Raw genomic sequence first — 21,848 nt, forward strand, 5'->3', positions numbered from 1 at the left:
GTGCCGAAAGCAGCCAAAAACCAGTGGTTTTATGCCATTTTCCCTTGAATCCCTGCTGGTAAGCTTTTTAACATCTATCTTGCCTTTTGAAAGTGAAATGTTATTTTTTATGTCTTCAGCTCTCATAATTAGCTCAAGAACGTAGCTTTCTCAGCTAGCATTTTTTTACTCTTTTTAGACAGAACAACAATACCAAGTTTTCTGGATGCCTCTCTGTCTCCATCTGCTTTACCATCTCCCCTTAATTGAGGAAAAATTCTAAGTAACCCTGATGGTCATTACTCGGTGTCAGTCTTGCCACTATGTCACAGCCTGTCATAATTACATGATGTCACTCTATGCTAAATTCCCCCTCCTAATGAATGCTTCATTATCCAAAAGAGAATATATTATATTAAATCTACATTTTGCAGTTTTGGCATTTTGCTAAAGATTATGCTTTATCTGGACCTTGAGAATACCAGAGGTTCTTCCCTTTGACTTTGTATGCTTAAGTAGGCCTTGACCTTTCCCTTTTTGAAAACCATTGTTTGATGCTAAAATTTTAGTCACACTCTAGTTGCCTTCCATGGAGCATTAGGTAAAGCAGAAGTAGCAACACAACCCCAAAACACTAATTTAATAATTGTTGGTGGACTCTAGCTAAAACGTCTTAACTTGAATTATGATTGGAGGCATGAAAACATGAAGCAACATTTCAGATACTCCTGGAAAATTACACATTTGACTGTAGTAGTTAATAAGCATAGAATTAATTATCAGAATTTTCAAGGTATAAGGTCGTCATAAACCAAAGACAGTATTTAGGCATATGTTAACTTTCCAACATACTTTAGTATAGTGGTTCCCAATTCTGACTGACTATAAGAATTAACTAAATAACTATTTAAAAATACCCAGATTCTTAAACTCTGCCCAAGACCTACTGAATGAGGATCTTTGGGAGAGGAATTTTATATAATATTTGATTTTGATTTTGAGGAAGAGAGATTTTAATGTTCTCCCAAGTGATAGTGATGCTCAGCTAAACTAGAAATCACTTATTTCTATTACAGCTCTACTCTTTCCTTTAAGTGAACTCCAGGAAGTCATTTTGCTCACAGATGTGACACTGGCAGATTAGAAGTACACTTCACTGATAAGTCCGGAGAGTTACCCATCAATGTGTCCCCATAGTCCCAGCCCAGGCTCTTCTGCCCTCCTCATTCTTCATTAGTTACAATTGACACCTCTTTATAAAAACTAGGGCCTACTCCAACAAGTTTGAGAAGAAAGAGAATGGCTCGTCCCACACCCCAAATCTGGGCTCATTTGAGAGGGGAGAACCATACTTCCCTCGGCTGTAGAGTATCCAGGAGATGAAATACGAAAAAGCACTGAGAGGCAGACGCTGCCTGTCTCAGCCTCTTGGACTGTTCTTAGCCCGAACCTCTTGCAATCCTGCCTGTAGCTTCAGCCCCACCCTACTCCTTAAGACCAACCTAATCTTGGACATGATAGTCTTTACACAACTTCTGGGGCATCACTCCCAGGCTGGAGATATCGTGACCTGACTCTGGTAACTAGGTTTCAGCATTTCTCTACACGTCAGAGTCTTTATCTCGGCAACCTGCCTGATACCTCGGTTTTCCCAGATCACACTTCTCAGTGTGGTATGGGACATCCTTCACCAGGATCTTCAAAGGTGCCTATCAAAAAAATGCCAGTAATGAGCTTGCACCCAGACCTATTAAATCAGAATCCTTATGGCTGGAGTCCAAGAAGCGTATTTAAAAATAAGTGAACAGTCAAGTTGTTTTACAGAGTCCTCAGCTTCTCTAATCTGGAAATTCTGGAATCCCTTAATCTCTTTGTATCTGATATTTCTGATTATTTTCATTATTATTATTATTCTGACTTTTGGAGTAGTGTAATATAGTACAATAGTTGTACATTTCTTTTTTAGCAGAGCCATTCATAAGATATCACCCCTGAATTTGGCTGGGGGTTGTATTGTGCATATGAAATTTTTGGCTGCAGGACATTCTAGTACTCTACTCAAAAATATGTTTTTATTGCATACTGGAGAGATTTAATCATGTTACCAAACATACTCATTCAGAAGCATTACGAAATACAACTCACTCTAATTACTTTTTATCATTATTATTGTAATTATTTTATTATTTATTATCCCCATTAAGAACAATTAATATGATATACTACTATCAATCATTTGACTATAATAATAACAGCAACATCTGAAATTTTCAAAGCATCTTTTTTAAAAGAGTCCAAATAGAATGAAAAAAAAATGAGTTGTGTCTTTAAAAGTATTTTCTGAGTGTTTTTCTAGTAAGCCACCACCATTTACGTATTTATGAGAAATATATTCACATGCACGCTACTTGTGTGATGACAAAATTATTCTCTCAAAGCCGAATACAAATTAGAAAGTCAGGGCAAGGGCTTTATTTTATATCAGATCCAATAATTGTGAAATACTTTGGCAAGCACTACTAAGAATAAGTGAAATTGTGTTATTGCAAAATAATCAGATCTGACTTCAGTAAACTCCACTCAGTGATATTTAAGTTGGATGACAAAGCTAAAATTTCTGCAAACTATTATTTGTACCCAGACTGACATGAATTAGAATTAGTAACTCACAATGGGCATTCAACTATAAGGTACAAACTAGAGGTGATTTATTTAGTGGTTTGAAATCTAGGAAGGAGTTTTATACTTCGACTGTATGTAAAGGCTGTTTCTGTTTTTACAAATGCTAATTACAAAAAATTATAACATAACTCATCTGAATTGTCACTGAACTGCCTAGGGAAACTCACATAAATTTTCTTCCCTAAATAAGTCTGCTAATACAGCATGCAACAATAACAAGGGTAAATAAGACCAATGTTTTCAAATATAAAGGGAGATGGTGGTATTCTTCTAAATTTATTTGATGAATTTGATAACATTTCAAATACATCACGAACTAATTTTTTGTGGCTGGATTGCATTTTATTTATATACATAACATTTTTTCTAGATATAATAGTATGTCATGCAGATTTTTTTTGAGGAAGTGGAAATGATTCTCCAGTGGAATTGGAAGAATAAGATTTAATTTTGTTATCTTTTATATGCATCATTTTTCTATCCTTGAGATAATTTTTTTAAATACCTGAGATCTTTTGCAATAGAATTCTTTTCACCCATGTAGGTCAGAGATCCCCACTTCCAGTGACCACATTACTCATAAATATCAATATTATGATAGTTAATTAAAGAGGGAGGCTCTGAAAGGGGAGAGTTTCAGAAAACCTGATATATGTTCAAAGGTCTGCAGGTGCACTATGCGAATATATCCAGGTTGAAAGAAGATGACCATTGCCCCTGCAATGTCAAACCAGCATTCCCTGGTGATGACAGTGGTGGAGACTTCCCTAGTCATTCATCTATTCATTCCTCAAGTATTAATTGACATCTACCATGTGTAAGGTGCTGTGCTGGATGCAATGGTTATAAAGACAGGAAAGCAGTTTTGCCCCTAAGGAACACACACACTAGAGAAGGAAACATAAATTGATACATCAGCGCCAAGTGGAACACACAATATAACATCATGATTGAGTACAGACTTCAGAGCCAGATTGTTTATGTTTGAATCCCACTGTCATTTACTACGTGACCTTAAGGAATTACTTTATTTCTCTTTCCTCAGCTTCATCATCTGCAAAATGGGGATGCCTACCCTATAGGTTTATTATAAAAATTACGTAAATTAATGTATGTATTAAGTTGAACCATACAAAATTGCTGATTTTGTGGTTATAAAACCATTTGAATAAACAACATACAAAAAGTGCTAACCGTGAAAAATTAATAAATTGGAGTTAATTGAATCTAAACACTTTTACTCATCAATAGATAGATGCTTTAAAAGTGTGAAAGGCAAGCCACAGACTTAAGTGGTGAAGCATCACTGACAGCCTTGAAAGAAGGTCAAAAGTCTCATGTAATAGAGCTACCAGGACCAGGCAGGGACGATATCCCATGCAATGTGACTCCCTTCACCCCAAGGCAAACAGGTCAATTTTGGAAGGAGTCTCGTCATACACGCAACAGCAGCCTCTGCATCAGAAACATCAAGTCCTTTACTTTGTGGTAATCTATGGTGATGGATATATTTCCATGCCCGTTATGATGATGATGATGGTCAGGTAGCAGCTGTAGCAGTGAAAGTGGTACTGGCTTATTTGGCAGCTTGATTCCAGTCAGTCTCATCAGAGAACAGCTGTTCACTGTGGTCATCTACACAAGTGACCTACACAGTTGCTTAGCAGCTGTGATTTACTTCCACACTTTTCAGTCTCAAAGAGGGGTGTCTTTAACCTGCCAGTCTTAGCTTTCTAAGTGACAATTTAAAGAGCTAGGCTATTGACAACATTACAAGAGTTAGTAAAAATAAAACAAAGCTCATCAAGGGGAGTATTGCCTAGAGTTCAAAGAGCGACTCTGAGTTCCACTCACTGAGTAGAGGGACCACTTCCATTTTCTGTTCTTCACAGCTGGTGCTGAGGTTAAACAGCCACAGTCAGCCAGTGCATACCATCAAGTTTTAACTTAGCTAAACTGTCAGTGCCCAAGTTTGTTGAAAAACTTCTTCCTTCAAAGAGATAGCTGCCACATTTTCATGTAAAGCCAAGTTATAACACTGGTACCATTTCCACTTGACCAAGAAGTTTTATTGGGCCCTTCCTATGCCATTACTGAGTTTGAGTTCAGCCCCCAAAATAAGAATATCAAGCTGGAGTCACAAGGCCTCCGTTTGTTAGATGTTCAGATGTCAGATGTCCAGAAAACCCCAGAAGAAAACTAATAGCTTCAAAACCTATACCTAGTAGCCCTGTCAGGGAAGCAGCCCCAAGGGGAACCTCCAGATGGAGGGTGCCTCCTTTTGCCTGAGGCCTGAGTTGGTGAAATCATCAGTCACAAAGACGTTCAGCACAATAGGGTCATTAGGGCTTTGGGTCTCAAGAGTGGAACACGTGCCATAGCTTGCACAACTCCCCACACGGCTTCTTGCACTGGGTCTATTCTCAAAAGATGTTGATGTGCAGGTTAGTTGATGTAAAAGACCAAATAGAAAGCCCAAATGAGGCATACGCTGTCTCTCTCTTCAATACCCGACAAGTGTAATAAGGTACTCAGCTTCATTTTGGATGGTGGAGGTTTATAGACAGAGCAGTTTTTCTTGACTCCCAGAGGGACTGAGCATTGTAAATCTACCCACATGGTTTCAAGAAGCTTTATTTTGTAAGCGTGTCCCTGAGGGCTGTTTATTTATATCAGCAAGCAGGCCACCACCCTTCAGGTCCCCTCACTGTTGGTGGAGGTTTGGTAACACCACAGTCTAGGCTGTAGTGACCAAGACTTCTGATTCACCAATCAACGGGGCATTATTGGAATGAAAGCTTTGGGTAGGGCTACTCGTACTAAATCCAGACTGACTCCCTGGTAGAAAAAGACAGTGAGTGACTTACTGGTAGCAAAGGCAGTGCATCTTGGGGAGCACCTTGTCATAAATGGGAGTTAGGGAGCAATTTATATGTCACACTGCTACTTCTCTACCTGTGGGTCTTCCTGAATTAAAGAGTCCCCTCTGGAATATATGGAGCAGCAAAACATGTAACACATTGATTCCTCTGCATTCAGATGTAGAAGCAAAAGCAATAGTGCATTAAATTTTTAAAAGGTCACACCCACAAGACCACCTTAGCTTCCCTTCCCCACTGTAAAACCACCCCACACTCCATTAGCAGAACCCAGGTGGATTTTATTTCCAAGTGTCTGGTAGGACAGTAACTTGCTTGCCTGTCTCAAATTGAGTTAATGTAGTTTGAGCCCCTTGCTTCCCCAATCTTTGGGTCAGTTTCTTATTATCTAGTAGGTTATCTTCATCAACACTATTAACCCAATCTAGAACACTAAGTGCCTAAATAATTGTTAATGCCTAATCTGTCGTTTCCCATGTGCTATGATTTGAATTCCAAATTCATATGTTGAAGCCCTAACCTCCAGGACCTCTGAATGTGACCTTATTTGAAGACAGGGTATTTATGGAGATAATCAAGTTAAAATCAGCCTATCAGGGGAGGGTCTAATTTAATGCGACTGCTGTTCTTATAAAAGGGGAAATGTAGACACAGAGGCAAACACACCTGCAGGGACAATGATATAAAGAGACAGGGAGAAGGCAGCCAACTCTAAGCAAAAGAGAGAGGCATAGAATGGATCCTTCTCTCACAGAACTTGGAAGGAACAACCCTGCCAAAACCTTGATTCTTGGACTTCTTCTAGTCCCCACAACCATGAAATAATACATTGTTGTTGTTGAAGCCACCCGGTTTGTTGTACCTTGTTACAGCAGTCTTTGCAAAGTAATATATCATGGGAGCTTGACTTTCTCCAAGAAAATATCCGCAAGAGGCCAAAGCTCCCTTATGGTAGCCTAGATCCACTGCAAAAAAAACCTGAGACATTTTACTATTATCCCTAAATAAATCCAAGATTGGAATAATAGACTGCAGGTGGGAAATAAGCATTAAGAAATACTTTTCTTTAACAAGCATTTCACACCTTGGCCCTCTCATAGCCCAAGGGAACCAGCCAAACTTCTAACAGTTGATGAAAAGTCCCTTCTCCCAAGGAAGTTGCAGCCACAGCCAGAGCAGCCATTGCTGAACCTATTTTTCAGTATTCGAGTACCTGTCCTGCACCCACCTTCCCATTTCTGATTAATGGTCAGTAAGGTCACTTATTGCCTAGTTAACACCACATTATTTTGTTCCATGTTTTCTACTGTTTCCATGTCCCATTAATTGATTCCCAAGGCCTTCATCTTTCCCATTCCAGAAAGCCATGTCTGTAAGCATCCCATCCTCGCCCTTTACATACTTCAGACTCCTATTTGTCTCTGATTGTTTGGTAGACTTATCACCACTTTCTGAACAGATCTCTTTTTCCTCTTCAGTTTTTTAAGCATCTAGCATCCACTTGGATTTGCATTGACTGATACAAGCATGCGTTTTGCTTTGGTCATGACTTTGACGAACTGTTCAGTGTGTAAGTACTGTCTTCCTGTACATAATTGTGCCCTTGACTCTGGTTTGTAACTCCTTACTGCGTCATAGTCTTACTTAGTCTCTTGATTATACAGTTATAGCAATTATATCCTTTTGTAATTAAAATCTTTGGTTGACTATATTAGTCTCATCTTAATGATTCTTTCTAAAACAAAGGGATAATAAATAATCACTCTGATACTAATACTATTAATCACGTCTGTATATTATTCTTAAGTTTTCTTCAAGATCAGATACTATGACATGGGTTATAGATTATTTCCATCATCTTTCTTCTCCTTGCCATGTGAAGATCTATGATAAGCAGTATTTTAAAATGTGTGTGTGTGTATTTGTGTGTATATTTATATGCATATGTTTTAATTGAATAGCTATTATTTGGTCTAATGTTGTAGCCAGGAGCAGATTTTATCTGTTAGATGGACGATGTTGGATAGATGATTATGTTTATTAAAAGATACTAATAGTCACAGTCATGAGCTATTTCTTGAACAGTTTCATGCTCTATATTAATTACAATTTTTATTTTGAAATAATTGCAGATTCACATACAATTGTCTACCCTTTGCTCAATTTCACCCAGTGGTAACATTTCTCCGAGATATAATACAATATTATACCTAGGATCTTGGTGTTGATACAGTCAAGATACAGAACAGTTTTATCACCACAGAAATCCCTCATGCTGCTCTTTACGTTCACATCCACCTCTTTTCTGCCCTGCCCATGCCCTGGCAACCACTAATCTCTTCTTTTCTATAATTTTGTCCCTTCAAGAATGTTATGTAAAGGGAATCATATAGTATGTAGCCTTTTAGATTTGGCTTTTTTTTTTTTTCATTCAGAGTAATTCTGGAAATTCGCCCAAATTGTTACATGTATCAATAGTTTGTTCCTTTTTATTGTTGAGTAATAATCCATGGCTGGATATGGTGGTTTGCTTAACCATTCAATCTTCGAAGGATATCTGAGTTATTTCCAGTTTTATGGCTACTATGAATAAAGTTACTGTGAAGATTCATGTGCAGATTTATATTAAAATATACCTGGGGTTTTGTCTTTATTCAGGTATGATGAGCCCAACAGATCAGGAGACATTGCCATTAGAAAGTTTATTATTCAAAGTTCCCAAGAGGAGGGTAGAGTGTCATTCCTCACAGGACCATACTAGAGAACAACAACATCAGTTGCAGGCAAAGAGAGAGCAAGGGAAACTTCAGGAAAGCTTTTACTATAGTTTTCTTGGAAGAAATGGGTCATTTGCTCTAAAGCAAATGGGCTAAGCAAGTTTAGAACTCTTGGCTAATATGAATAATTTCAGTATGCTTCAGGGTGTTGAAGCTGGCTGATGCTTAGTCTTGGGGTGATTAGGGCAGGTGAATAGTGTCTTACAAGAGTAAGAACCCCTGAAAGAACAGGCAGGTCAGGGGTGTGGATTTTGGATCAGTTTGTTTACATATTGATATGGTTTGGCTTTGTGTTCCCACCCAAATCTCATCTCAAATTGTAATCCTCACAAGTTGAGGGTGGGTCTGGGTGGGAGGTGATTGGATCATGGGGGTGATTTCTCCCATGCTATTCTTGTGATAGCGAGTGAATTGTCACGAGATCTGATGGTTTTAAAGTGTGGTACTTGCATTGTTCACTCTCTCTCTCCTTCCACTGTATAAGAAGTGCCTTGCTTCCTTTTCACTTTCCACCATGATTGTAAGTTTCCTGAGGCCTCCCCAGCCATGCGGAACTGTGAGTCAAACCACTTTCCTTTGTAAATTACCTAGTCTCAGATATTCTTTATAGCAGCGTGAAATGGGCTGATACAGACAATAGCAGCGTGAAAAGGGACTAACACACATATGAAAGGTACACTCTAATGAGAGTCAAAAAGCCTTCTGCTAACTCTAGGAATTCCAACTGCTAAACCTGTGGGAGGGGCAGTCTCTTCCTACTAACAAGGCCTAAGATGTCAAAACATCATATACAGAAACTTGAAAACATGGATAATACAAGTTTTTTGTGTGAACTTAAGTTTTCAGTTCTCTGGGATAAATGCCCAGGAGTGCAATTTCTGGGTCATATGGTAATTTCATGTTTAGTTTTATAGGAAAATGCCAAACAATTTTCCAGAGTGGTTGAACAATTTTCCATTACCACCAGAAATGTCTAGATGATTCTGTTTCTCTAATCCTGTAGATTTATAAAGTGTATGGGAGGGAATAAAGGGTTTTTTTTTTATTATTAACACTTCAGGCATTTAGGTAAACCATGACAATGATTTTTTATTTAGCAAGTACAATCTGTAGTACACCGAACTGGGAACTGTGAAAGATCCAAAGGTGAAGAGGTAGATAATTTTGCTCAAGGAGCCTCCAGTCCCTCAGTGGAAGCAGGCCTGTAAATGTTGAACAAAAAATAATAAAAATGGGTGGTACATGTACATTCAACCAGTCTGCAGTGTAGGCACAGTGGAAATGCTAAGTATTTGAAATAATGGATATGCTAATTAGCTTGATTCAATGATGCTGCATTGTATACATATATCACAGTATCACTTTTTACCTCATAAATAGATATAATTTATTAAACTCAATACAATTTAAAAAATAAGTAATGTTTAAGAATTCTGAGGGTGTGGCTGGTGAGGCCTGATGTAGGTAGTAATCTCTGAGCAGTGTTTGAAGAATAAATATAATTTTAAAAGTAAAGAAAAAAAGTGCAAAAGGCATTTAACATTCAAAATATTTTGTGTGCTGGGTGCACCAGGGGTATTCTGATGGGATTAGAGCCCTAGTACAGTGGGGAGATGGATGGAGCAATGAAAGTGAGAAACAGAATTGAAGAAAGGTCATGAGTAAACTGGAATGACCTGTGAAGAAGCTAGACTTGGTTTGGTAGCTGATGTGAAGTCACTGAATTTGGAGAAGATGAATACCAGTTGGCCTGCATTTTAAGATATTGACGAAGTTCACTGAAAACAGTCAAGATCAAAGGTGAAGAGAACTGAGGGGAAGCTATTGTGGTAGTTTAGGTGAAAGATGCTGAGAGCATGAGCTCATTGCAGACCCTTTAAAATGTCATTGTGCTATTTTTTTAATTAAGTCAACTACAAAAAAATGCATGTTCCTTGCAAGCACATCAGAAAACAAAGCAAAAAAATAAACAGAAATCACCCTTGATCACCACAGCAAACATTTTGAAATATTTTAATAAAAATGTTTGTAATCTTTTTAGCTATATTGCCATGAGTGCATGTATGTATAATTTTAAGCATATATCAGTGACAGCATATATAATGTTTATGTCATATTTATAACATTTTTTCATCAAGTGTATTATAACATCTTTTAGTATATAAATGTATTTATTCACTATCACCTAAATTATTCTCATTGTATGGAAACACTGTAACTAAATCAACTCCTCCCCACCGCAGGATATTTAAGTGGTTTTGTTTAATTTTGTTTGACTATTTTACTATTTCTAGCTTTTTATTTACATTCAAAACCTCATTTGCAGACTTGGAATAAGAAAGGAGATTCTCTATCTGTGGTTCTGTCTCTTGCCCATGCTCATGGAAGACGAAGTTGGGGCTCTGCAGACATCCTGAGATGCACACATTTTGTGCTGGCATTGCACATTGAGTGGCCTTGCCTCACCCCTCCAGCACTGAAAATAGTATGGCTTACGTTGAATTAGAGACCAATATGCTTATGATTCTCTAGCTGCTGCAATTTCTACTCAAGCTCTTTTATCTCATGTCGAGTTCCCAAAACTAGACTGTGCATCAAATTATCCACAGATCTTTTTACAAATGAAATGCTGAGGACCCACCATAAAAGACTGTGATTCAGTTGGTCTGGAGTCAGGTCAGGGAACTGTGTTTTTTACTCTTCCCTAGGGAATTTGACCATTCAGCCAAGGTGAAAACCATGGTGCTAGACCTTTCTTTCCCCCCTTTTACTGATATAACTGTCTCCACTGACTGTGAGTTTGCCTACGTGGTGACAGAACAATTTAAGCTAAGATGGGGCTCAGCGATGGCGGCTTGATGTGTTCCTTTCTGGGAAGTTCAATGTTTTCAACCAAAAGGGAGCCAAACTCATGCAAACCAGTGACAGATGAGGAGCAGGAATAGTTTTAGAAAGGGAGTTTCTTTAAAAAAAATTTTTAATCTGAGACTGGGCTCCTAGGGGATATCCTACCAAGTGTGGATCTTTTGCTTTTCCAAAGTATTTCCTGATCTTTCTGATTGGGTGATGAAACCTTTTGACACCCTTACTAAAAAGGAGGAAAATAGGCTGGGTGCGGTGGCTCACGCCTGTAATCCCAGCACTTTGGGAGGCCGAGGCAGGTGGATCACAAGGTCAGGAGATCGAGACCATCCTGGCTAACATGGTGAAACACGGTCTCTACTAAAAATACAAAAAAAAAATTAGCCAGGCGTGGTGGTGGGCGCCTGTAGTCCCAGCTACTCGGGAGGCTGAGGCAGGAGAATGGCCTGAACCTGGGAGGCGGAGCTTGCAGTGAGCTAAGATTGTGCCACTGCACTCCAGCCTGGGGGATAGAGTGAGACTCTGTCTCAAAAGAAAAAAAAAAGGAGGAAAATATGGACATTGGGGTGTACATGACTATCTCATTTCTGAGCCCATATTTTATGCAGGTGGTTGGATACTGCGATTACATGAAAGACAAATGGAAGCATCTCAGAGTAGGGACAGAAGGACACAGTAGAGAGGCTTATGTTGTTGGGGACAAATTTTGTTCATTGGGTTCTTTTCCTTGAGGTGGCCTCTCAAATGCTACCCAAAGAACGTTGACCTGAGGATGACATGAGGAAGTCTGCAGAAGTACGGCTTTAGGCCATTAACACAGGCTAAGCCATCACTGCACAGTGGACAGAGCCCCTAGGTGGATTCCCTCCTCTCATGGCTGGCTCCTTCTGTCATCACTGCCAGCTCAAAGTAGAGATGCATCCTCCTCACTCATGCCTGTTGTCCATGTTCCCTGTTAGAACTAAGATATCCTGCAGATATTTCTGTAATCGATCTTGCTGCATTGCAGTCCTGTGCTGCCCTGACCTCCAGCTCTGCCTTCCTCCTTGGATCTCTGAAAGTGTAACCTAGGTATCCTCCCTGTTTCTGGTTTCACTTGCCTGAAACACATCCCCTTCTTGGTGGACCAGAATCAGCTCCAATATTTCTTTAATTCCATTACAGGGGCTGAGGTATCCTCCTGGCTGCAAAGAGGATAACAGAGTTTGCAGCTCCAGTCACACAGTTCTCTATAAACCTCAAGAAATTGCTTGGCACAGGTTAATTTTCCCCATCTTTAGAGAAAAATACTACCGTGTTACCAACACTTACTGATACACTGAAAGCATCAGATTAAAATAAAATGGTTAGCTGCACTTTAAAGAATGGAAAAGATCTGTAGCATCAATATTAATCTTGCAAAATCTGTGTGTCAATAATATGGCATAAAAAACAAAGTTATTGCAAAAAAGGATATTTTTACAAAAAAGGATCAATATGACCTGCCTGGAAAATCAACACTGTGACTTCTCATCATTTATAATGTATTAGCTAAAAGGTCTAAACCATCTCAATCAGGAGACATGCTTTGAATTTTCTACATGAGGATCTGAAATGATGTAATGATAGCAACATTCATTACCTACCATGAGTGAGTATTATGCTTAAATCACTCTCATTCGATTCTATGGCATCCCTGGAAGGGAACTGGTATCATTCCTTGTTTTGCAGATGAAGTATCTCAGAGAGAACCTCTACTCAAAATCAACACTAATTAGATGTTTCTGCAGGGCCTATGGGTTTTCCCAGCACACCACAGGTTCTCTCTGGTTCACTCGTGTACAAAGTCCCAGAATTCTCAAAGCTTGCACCCAGTGTGGCTGCAGTGGTATTGCTTTCTTCCAATTCTCCTCTTTTACTTTGTTTTGTGTGAGGGAGACTAGTAGGTAATGTTTGATGCAGGTCAATCAACTCCTGTCGTCCTGATCATATGGCTGTTGGTGGGGGTTGAAAAGGTGGATTCAGGGTTTAAAATAAGGAAAAAGCAAAGCAGGTAATGAGGGACAAAGGTTTACTTGACAAACATGAGTGTCCAGAAAGAGATTACATTTCTAGAGGAAAATCAAATAAACCTCCATGAAGATGGTTCTATTCTTAGCACTTAACCTGTTGTATTTTAGGAGATCAAATACTGTTCAACTAATTCAAATAGAGATCATCTTAGTGGTATTTTAAAGGTGATATGAAAACAAGCTATAAAAAGAAAAAAATTAGATGTATCTTTATTCTTTATATCCAGAAAGAACCATCTTAATGTTTTGGCATGTACTGAGACAGAGAGAGAGAGAGAGAGAGAGAGAGAGAGAGAGAGAGAGAGAGAGACAGGCAGAAAGACAGATACAGCTAGAAACATTTTATAAAACAGAGATCATAGATTTTATATATATATAAAATTAATCTTTTTTTCAGTTATGAGAATTTTCCCTTGTCATTATCTTTTGAAAAATTTTAAAAATGACTTGATATTTTATTATACGAGCAACAATTTAATGATTGCCCTATTTGGGGTCATTTACATTTTCCAACCTGTTTTTTTCCTTTGCTATTATAAACACTTCAGTGAATATCTTTGAAAATGTATCCTCATCCACATCTTGAATCATCCACATCTTGAGTCAATAGAATTGTAGACATGTAATTATGGCTTTAAAAATGGCTCTTAATGTATATTATCAAATTGTTTTCCAAGAATTTGGTACTATAAATACTTCTACCAGCAATATTTAAGAATGACTGACTTATACATTTTTATTTCAAAAAGTTGACAAGTGTGAAAACTGTTACATAATAGTTTAACATTTTATTTTTTCAATTACTGAGGTTGAATATAGCCCACATGTTTATTAGCAACGATGCCTTTTTGGTAAATTATCTGTTCATGTCTAGAGTCAGTTTTTTGATAGATTTTCTTCCTATTGACACCTTGTATGTTAATTTTTTTTTCCAATTTGTAAGTTATCTTTTAATTATATTTAATAAAATTTTCAGGTATTTTAAAGAGCTGGATTTACAATAAATGTAACCAAGAAAACTCTACATGAATTTTGACCTGATATTGGATGGTGGAGAATTTTTCTAAGCACAAAATAATAAAATAAATAATGAAGAGAAATATTAAATTGAACTGCAACCAAATGTAAACCATTTGGTTTGCAAAACAATATCAAAATACAGTATGTGATAAGCAACAATTATAGAACTGAACATAAAGTAAAATTACCATTTTTGAAAAACAAACATCTAATGTCAATTTTAAAAAAATTATACTAGTTTATATTCCCACTTCCCAGGAAACAATTGTAATGGTGAATTAATTGCATATTCAAGAGAGTTCATAGCAACATAATTTGCAGTAGTTAAAAACTAGAAAAAAAAAACTGTTTAAATATCCACCAAATAAGAGAATGGATTCATTGTTCATTTTCATACCTGGGACGCTTTAGAGAAGTGAAAATAAATGGGTTAGAGCATCACACACCATCACGTATGAATTCCATAAATAGAAGAGAGCAAGATATACAGAATACATGCAGTGTGATTCCGTTTATATAAGGTTCATGCACAACTAAACAGTAAATTGCTGGGGACACATATATATGTCATAAAACTCTAAAGAAAAGTCAAGGAATGAGAAACACAAAACGCTATTGTTTAGATTACTGCTGCTCAGCTCTGGCTGCGCATTAGCAGTAACCAGGGAGCTTTTAAAAAATACTGATGCACAGGACCCAGCCCAGAAGAATTAAATTAGAATCACCTTACTCAATGGCTTAGTTAAGACTTCCAGTAAACAAATACTTACTGCAGCATTAAGGAAATTAGGGTCATCCTTTCTCAGTACCTCAAGATCTTTGCTTCGGCAATTATTCCCTCTCTCCTGCAGCATCAATTTCTTCCTCACTATTGGGTTACTCTCTTTTCTGTATGCACATGCATGCCTAGTATCGGCCATCCTAAAAGAAACAATAAAACAAAGAAAGAAAAATCAGTCCCTCGACAGTATGTCTTCCACATACCATCTACCAACTTTTCTTTTTCTCTGCTTTTAAAGTCATACTCCTGGAAACAATTGTCTACACTTCTTCTTTCTTCTTGCTTATGTTTATGTTTATGTCCTTCAGCTCACTTTACTGAAGCTTGCATCTCCAGCATTGCTACAAAACAGCTTTCATTTAGATCAGCAGCAATGACCTCTGTCCTACCAGACCCTCCAGTCAATTCTTGGACTTCATCATGTTTTACGTCTCAGCAGCATTTGACACAGTTGGTCACATCCTTTCTGCTTTTCCTAGCTCACTGTCATTCCTTACGTTGAATTTCTTCTTTTCCTGACCTCAAGATATTGGCTTAAGGCCACAGCTTGGCCCTTGGCCCTGTTCTGTAACTGTCTTCTTTCCTCAGATGAGCTCATTCTGTCCCATGCCTTTAAATATCATCTACAAGCTATTGGCTACTAATTGTTTTTCTTCAACTCTATTATCTTTCCTGAACTTGGACATAAATATCCAACTATATACCCATATAAACTAGTAATTGATTTCAACACCAAACTAATTGATACCTTTTACTCAGTTGCTTCGGACAAACAACAATGACGTCTCATTTGTCAACAATTCTTTTTAGGATGACCTTCAAATTATAGAATGAATGGATCACTTCCACTGTATCCACTGCTACTACCTTAATGTAAGACATGCCTGAGCTAATGCAACAGCTTCCTATCTGTTCTTTCTGCGTCCACTCTTTATCCCCCTACAGCTTTCCTAGAGCAGCTTGATCCTCTCAAAATACAAATCAGATTATGTGTCTTTTCTATTAAAAACTCTCCACTAGTGTCCCATGGCTGAGCTACTCACCATGGCCTAGGAGGTGTACAAGAGGTGGCCATTTTCCAGATTTCTTACCATTCTCATCTTGGTTGTGGGAATTTAGACCCACTATTCTTCCACCCTGTGGAAATGCCTGGCCTCTTCAGTCACAATGTCTGGGCACCAGCTCTTCTCTTTGCCAAGAATGCAGAACTGGCCCCTTCCTGTGAGTAATTCAGGTTCTCAGCTCAGATGTCCCCTTCTCTACAGAGAGCCTTCCCTCATCATTCAGCTCATAAAGTGTTGTCCAAGCACACTCAACTTCTAGCATATTAACCCATTTTCTATTGCTACTAAAATATCAATCACCATATAAAGTTATTTGTGTATAACTGTAGTCTCTCTCTCTCTCGCTAGCCTCATTAGAATAGCAGCTCCAAAAAAGCAGGGGGTTTGTCTTCATTACAGCTGAATGCTTAGTATTTAGAGCAATGCCTAACAATCTGTCAGGTCATGATAAATGTTTGAAATGAATAAATAAATAATAACTCAACCTAAACTTTCCACTACTTAATGTACTATTTGGGTGTCTGTGTCTTATGCTTACGTTGGCTGTGTTTTTTTTTTCTCAATTTTCTTTGCAAACCTTCTTGATGATTACTTAAAATGAGAAAGTCACAGTTCATTTCCTGAATATTAAACACTTTATTTGCTTCAATATTATTCTTTTATAGAAAAAGCATAACTGAGAAAACATTCATGAAACAGCTTCTCCCATCTATGAAACCACACCTCTCAACTTGAAGTACACCTGCTTATAGATTTCCCTGCTTTTGGTTTTTACCACAATCCCCCAGCTGGGTATTTCTTGGCCTGCTGTGATTCCCAGATGTTTACCATTCACTTGTCACCTTTACCATCCTCACACTTTCTTACTTTTGCAGGCCTTCTTTTTCTCTTCAGCATCCTTTGTGACTTTTGTATGCTTTGTATGAACATGCATTATTTTAGCATCTCCACAGTCGGATAATAGGGCACATCATCAGAATTTTTCTTTCTCTCTTATCTGACTTTCTAGCCTTTTGCAGGATGGACTCATCTTTTGAAAGAAAGCTTAGGTGGTTAACATTGACAATTTGAACCAGATATCTTGGAGACCTAAGATATTTCACTAGATGTAATTCTGGGCTTAGTCAAGATATTAACTAACGGGATTGTTCCTATTTATTATGTTATTTATTATCCAATCATCACCGTGTAACATTACGCTGATTATGCATTATACATGTGCAGTACTTTGGGTGAACATTTCACTTGGCTATGACTTGAGGAAAACACAGTGTTATTTTAAAGTATAAGTGTTCCTAACTTAAATGTTCCTGAAGTGAATTAAATGGCAATTTTGTGCTATTCTTAAGAGAAAGGATTTACACCTACATTGTAAATTATAAAGCAAGCTGCAGTGTTCTCAGCACCCACTTCATGCTGTTTCTGTTAAGAATTCCCAGAAGGGCTGCTTAGAATATACTAGCGATTAAGTGAGTTACAGTACATTCTAAAAGATTTTATAATACCACAGAGAAATAAAAATAAATGCAAAAATATATTTAAATTGTAAAAATGCTTTTTGAAAAATTAAAGTTATGATTTATTTGATAGTTCATTTCTCATATTAACATAGGATTTCTGGCCCCACTCCCTATTAAGAATGTTTCAAGAGGCAATATTTAATGGTGCAAACTCTGTTTTTCTGGGCAACCAAATATAAAATATCAAAAGACCGAATGTCACCCTTGACTCAAGTATTTGTGACGTTTACAAAATAATTAGACTGTCATTAAGCTGAAATATTGTTGAATTACCATGAAAGTAAAAATATTACTGCAACAAAGTACAAAATACGAAATATATCATCCTTAACTCTTTTGTTTTTCAAATAGACATGAGAAAGAGTAAAGTCTCTTCTTTATTATAGAAGCACAGAAAAAAGTTGTTTCTTTGAAATCATCCTCCATCTCTCCCAGATTGCAGACCTTTGTCCAAATGTTGAAGTACAGCTCATCTTTTAAGGCTATGAGCAATGACATTAAGATGTGTCGCCTACTGCAATTGAGGCTTTCCTACATTTATCCTTTGGAAACTCTTTCCCTGTCCCTCTATCTCTTCCCCACTTGCACCTCTGGTTTTAAACAGCATTTTTATTTCCCTCTTTTTGGTATTCACTGCAATGTGTCTTTATTCTCTGTTATTTAATAGAATTCAAGGCAGGGAACTTATTTTATTTATCTTGGTATTACATGCGCCACCAGAGTATTTTCTTGAAACAGGTGCTTTGTGAAAGTTTGAATTGAATTGCATTGATTTGACCAACATTAACTATCAATAAATATCTCAGAGCACTCAGAGTAGTTCTATAGCTCATGACTATAGAGTTTTAGCAACAAATCAAGCATTAATAATTACATAATGTCTTTTATGCTGAAGGTACTAACACCTGTGGAAAAGTAAAGACATCTAATAAATTATGAAGTCTGTAGTAACGATGGGGAAAAGTTGAAGGTGTATTTGACTTTATACAAAACAATAAATAGCAAAACACACTTTTCTTTTTCAAAACCACTAGGGTTTGCCTTATGGTGGTATGTGCCTATAGTCCCAGCTACTCGAGATGTTGAAGTGGGAGAATTGTTTGAGCCCAGAAGCTTAAGACCAGTCTAAGAAAGGTAGTAACAACCCATCTCAAACAAACGACAAAACAAAAAACCACCACAAAACAAAGTCAGTAGGATTTAAGAGGAGGTTATGGGCACTCTCATTCTATCCAGAATCTTATCTAGATAGGATTATCATCCACTGTTGAAATTTTAAGTAAAAATCCATTTTAAAAATCATACAACTATAATATATGTCTAGAAAATATAAATAATTTAGAATACAGTAATTTCTCACTTAACATAGTTGATAGGTTCTTGGTAACTGCAACTTTAAGTAAACCTACACATAATGAAACCAATTTTACCATAGGCTAATTGATGTAAATAAGAGTTTAGTTTCTATGGTCACAAAAACATTACCAATCTTCTAAAGAATGACCAAAATACTTTTAGTATTAAACTTTGAAATAAATGTCTACTCTATGTACATTTAAGACAGGTTAAAAAAAAGAAGCAAGATGATTATTTACTCAATTATTCCAGTTCGAGGTCACAGGTGGCTGAAGCCTATCCCAGCAGCTCAGCATAAGGTGGAATCAACCTTGGCCAGGATACCATTTTATCACAGAGTGCTCTCACACCTACACCCACACTCACTCAGATTGGGGCAATTTAGACATGCCAATTCACCTAACATACCTTTGAGATATGGGAGGAAATGAGTGCCTGGAGAAAACCCACACAAATGTGGGGAGAACGTGCAAATGCCACACAGACAGTAGCCCCTGTGGAAATAATTTTTTAAATTTTTTCTCTCAACGTTATAAAGAAAAAACATGATTTGAGATCCTGCTGTATATTTTACATAAAGATAATGATGTTTTAACATTTTACTACAGATAATTTAAAACACTCAAGTAGAGTGAATATGTATCTGTCATCCAGCTTAAACAATTACCAGTCATGGCCAATATTGTTCCATTTAAGTGATTATTGACTTCACCCCTTCCCATACTTTGAATTATTTTGAGACAAATTGCAGATATCACATCATTTTAACAACACATATTTGAGGGGTTTCTTTAAAATGTCTAAAAAATTTAAAATAATGCATTACAAAGTCCAAATTCTCAAAGTGATGCATAATTCATTTTTTAATGTTTATTTGATTGAATCAAGATTCCCTTGAGGTTTAGACATTAAGTATCTCTTTTATTCTTTCTCTATTTTTAACATTACATTTATGCAAGAGACAGCAAGAAAGGACCACAGAATGTTTTGGGTTTCCAGTACCAGAGGAAGAGGTCATAGCAAGAGAAAAGGAAAGAAAGCAGGAAATTGGCAGAGATTCAGGAAATGGGCAGAGATTCAGAATCTAGGCCTGTGCATATTGACCCATTCTCTGGAGACCTCTCAGTTCCTGGGGCTGTCTTTGGGAGTCTAAATATCCTCTTTCTAGGTTTCTTCAGGGCGTGTTCCACTGGCTCCCTGGGCCCAGAAACCTGGACTGGATTAGATTATCTCTGGGCAGTTATTCTGTTTTTCTCCAGCCATTTCTAAGGAAACACCACAGCACCTTTTCTTCCCCTCCTCCGAGCTAGTCCTTGGTGCTGTTTCTTGATGCCTCCTGTGTTCTTTGGCTTAAATTGCTTAGTGCGAGTAGATGTATGAAAGCAGCACTGGTGTTTCCAGGTGGAGTAGGTTGGGAATTTGCATTTCTGAAACCTCCCATCTCCTCATATATCTTTTAAGTGTATAGGTTCATCTTGCTTTTTCCTCATGCTGTTCATTTCTTGAATAAACCAGGATGTTTGTTTTGTAGTTTCCCTCTATCAAGTGATTTTTTCACTATGTTTCCATGGTATGATTTAATATGTTCTTTTATTCTGTATCCTATGAATTGGGTAGTAGCTGTAGAATCTTCCCCAGGTTCAGATTTGAGATTTTGGTAAGAATACTTCTTAGGTGATATTGTGTACTGCCAGCAGGGGACACATCATACGTGGTTCTCATTTTTTTGTTGTGTGATCTTAGTTGCCATCAGTATTCATAGACTACAGTCAGTATTTCATTAGGCTCACACTTGTAATCCCAGCACTTTGGGAGGCCAAGGCAGGTGTATCACCTGAGGTCAGGAGTTCAAGACCAGCCTGGCCAACATGGTGAAACCCCGTCTTTACTAAAAATACAAAAATTAGCTGGGCGTGGTGGCGGGCACCTGTAATCCCAGCTACTCGGGAGGCTGAGACAAGAGAAGAGCTAAAACCCAGGAGGTGGAGTTTGCAGTGGAGCCGAGATCACACCAGTGTACTCCAGCCAGGGTGACAGAGCGAGATTCCGTCTTAAAAAAATAAAAGAAAAGAAAAGAAAAAAGGAAAAAAATTAATATTCAAATTCTATTAGTCTATCTTTGCTTATCAGTTGAAATAATTTTCTAAAGAAAAACTTCCCTTGTCTACTATTTGGTTATAGGAAAGGCAGAAAGTATATTTAAAATTTTCCCTATATTTCCTGGTTATGAAAATGATAATTTAGTCCCACAGTATCTGCCAAAGATGACTGATGAATTATTTTCTTTGTCTCGTTCATGAACTCATAGATTTAGGTATAGTTGATGTTCATCAATGCATCACATAATTATTATTCTACTAATACTCCAATATCCCATCTTTGGCAAGTAGAAAATTCTTCAGTTGGTTGATGAATATTTTTGAAATAATCATAGTAGAGTTTTTCCTTTTTCTTATAACAAGATGTTTCAAGAACCAGCCATTTTTTCAAAAGAAGCAGCCGTTTCTTAAAAAACAAAAACAAAAATAAGAAGTCAAAGTATTTGTCTGCTTTATTTACTGTTGTATCCTCAGTAGCCAGTTCCTGTAAAGTAGTTGGTATCAGTAGAAATTACTTTAATAATGTATATTTAAAAGGTAAAATTAATGTGAAAAACAAAAAAAAAAATTAAAAATTAATTCAGAGTTTTGCTTTCTTCCAAGATGCGATAACAAGGAGATTTACCCTCTTACCTGAAATTCCTAAAACAAAAGCAAAAACAAAAAAAAATGGTAATATGTATAAAACAATGATTCTTAAGACATTGGACAATAGATAATGAAGCTCATTGATCCCTGAGAGATGGGAAACAAGCTAGGTGAGCCCTATGATTGTCCA

This window comes from Homo sapiens, chromosome 3 (genome assembly GCF_000001405.40).
Source record: "Homo sapiens chromosome 3, GRCh38.p14 Primary Assembly".
Taxonomy (NCBI): Eukaryota; Metazoa; Chordata; class Mammalia; order Primates; family Hominidae; genus Homo; species Homo sapiens.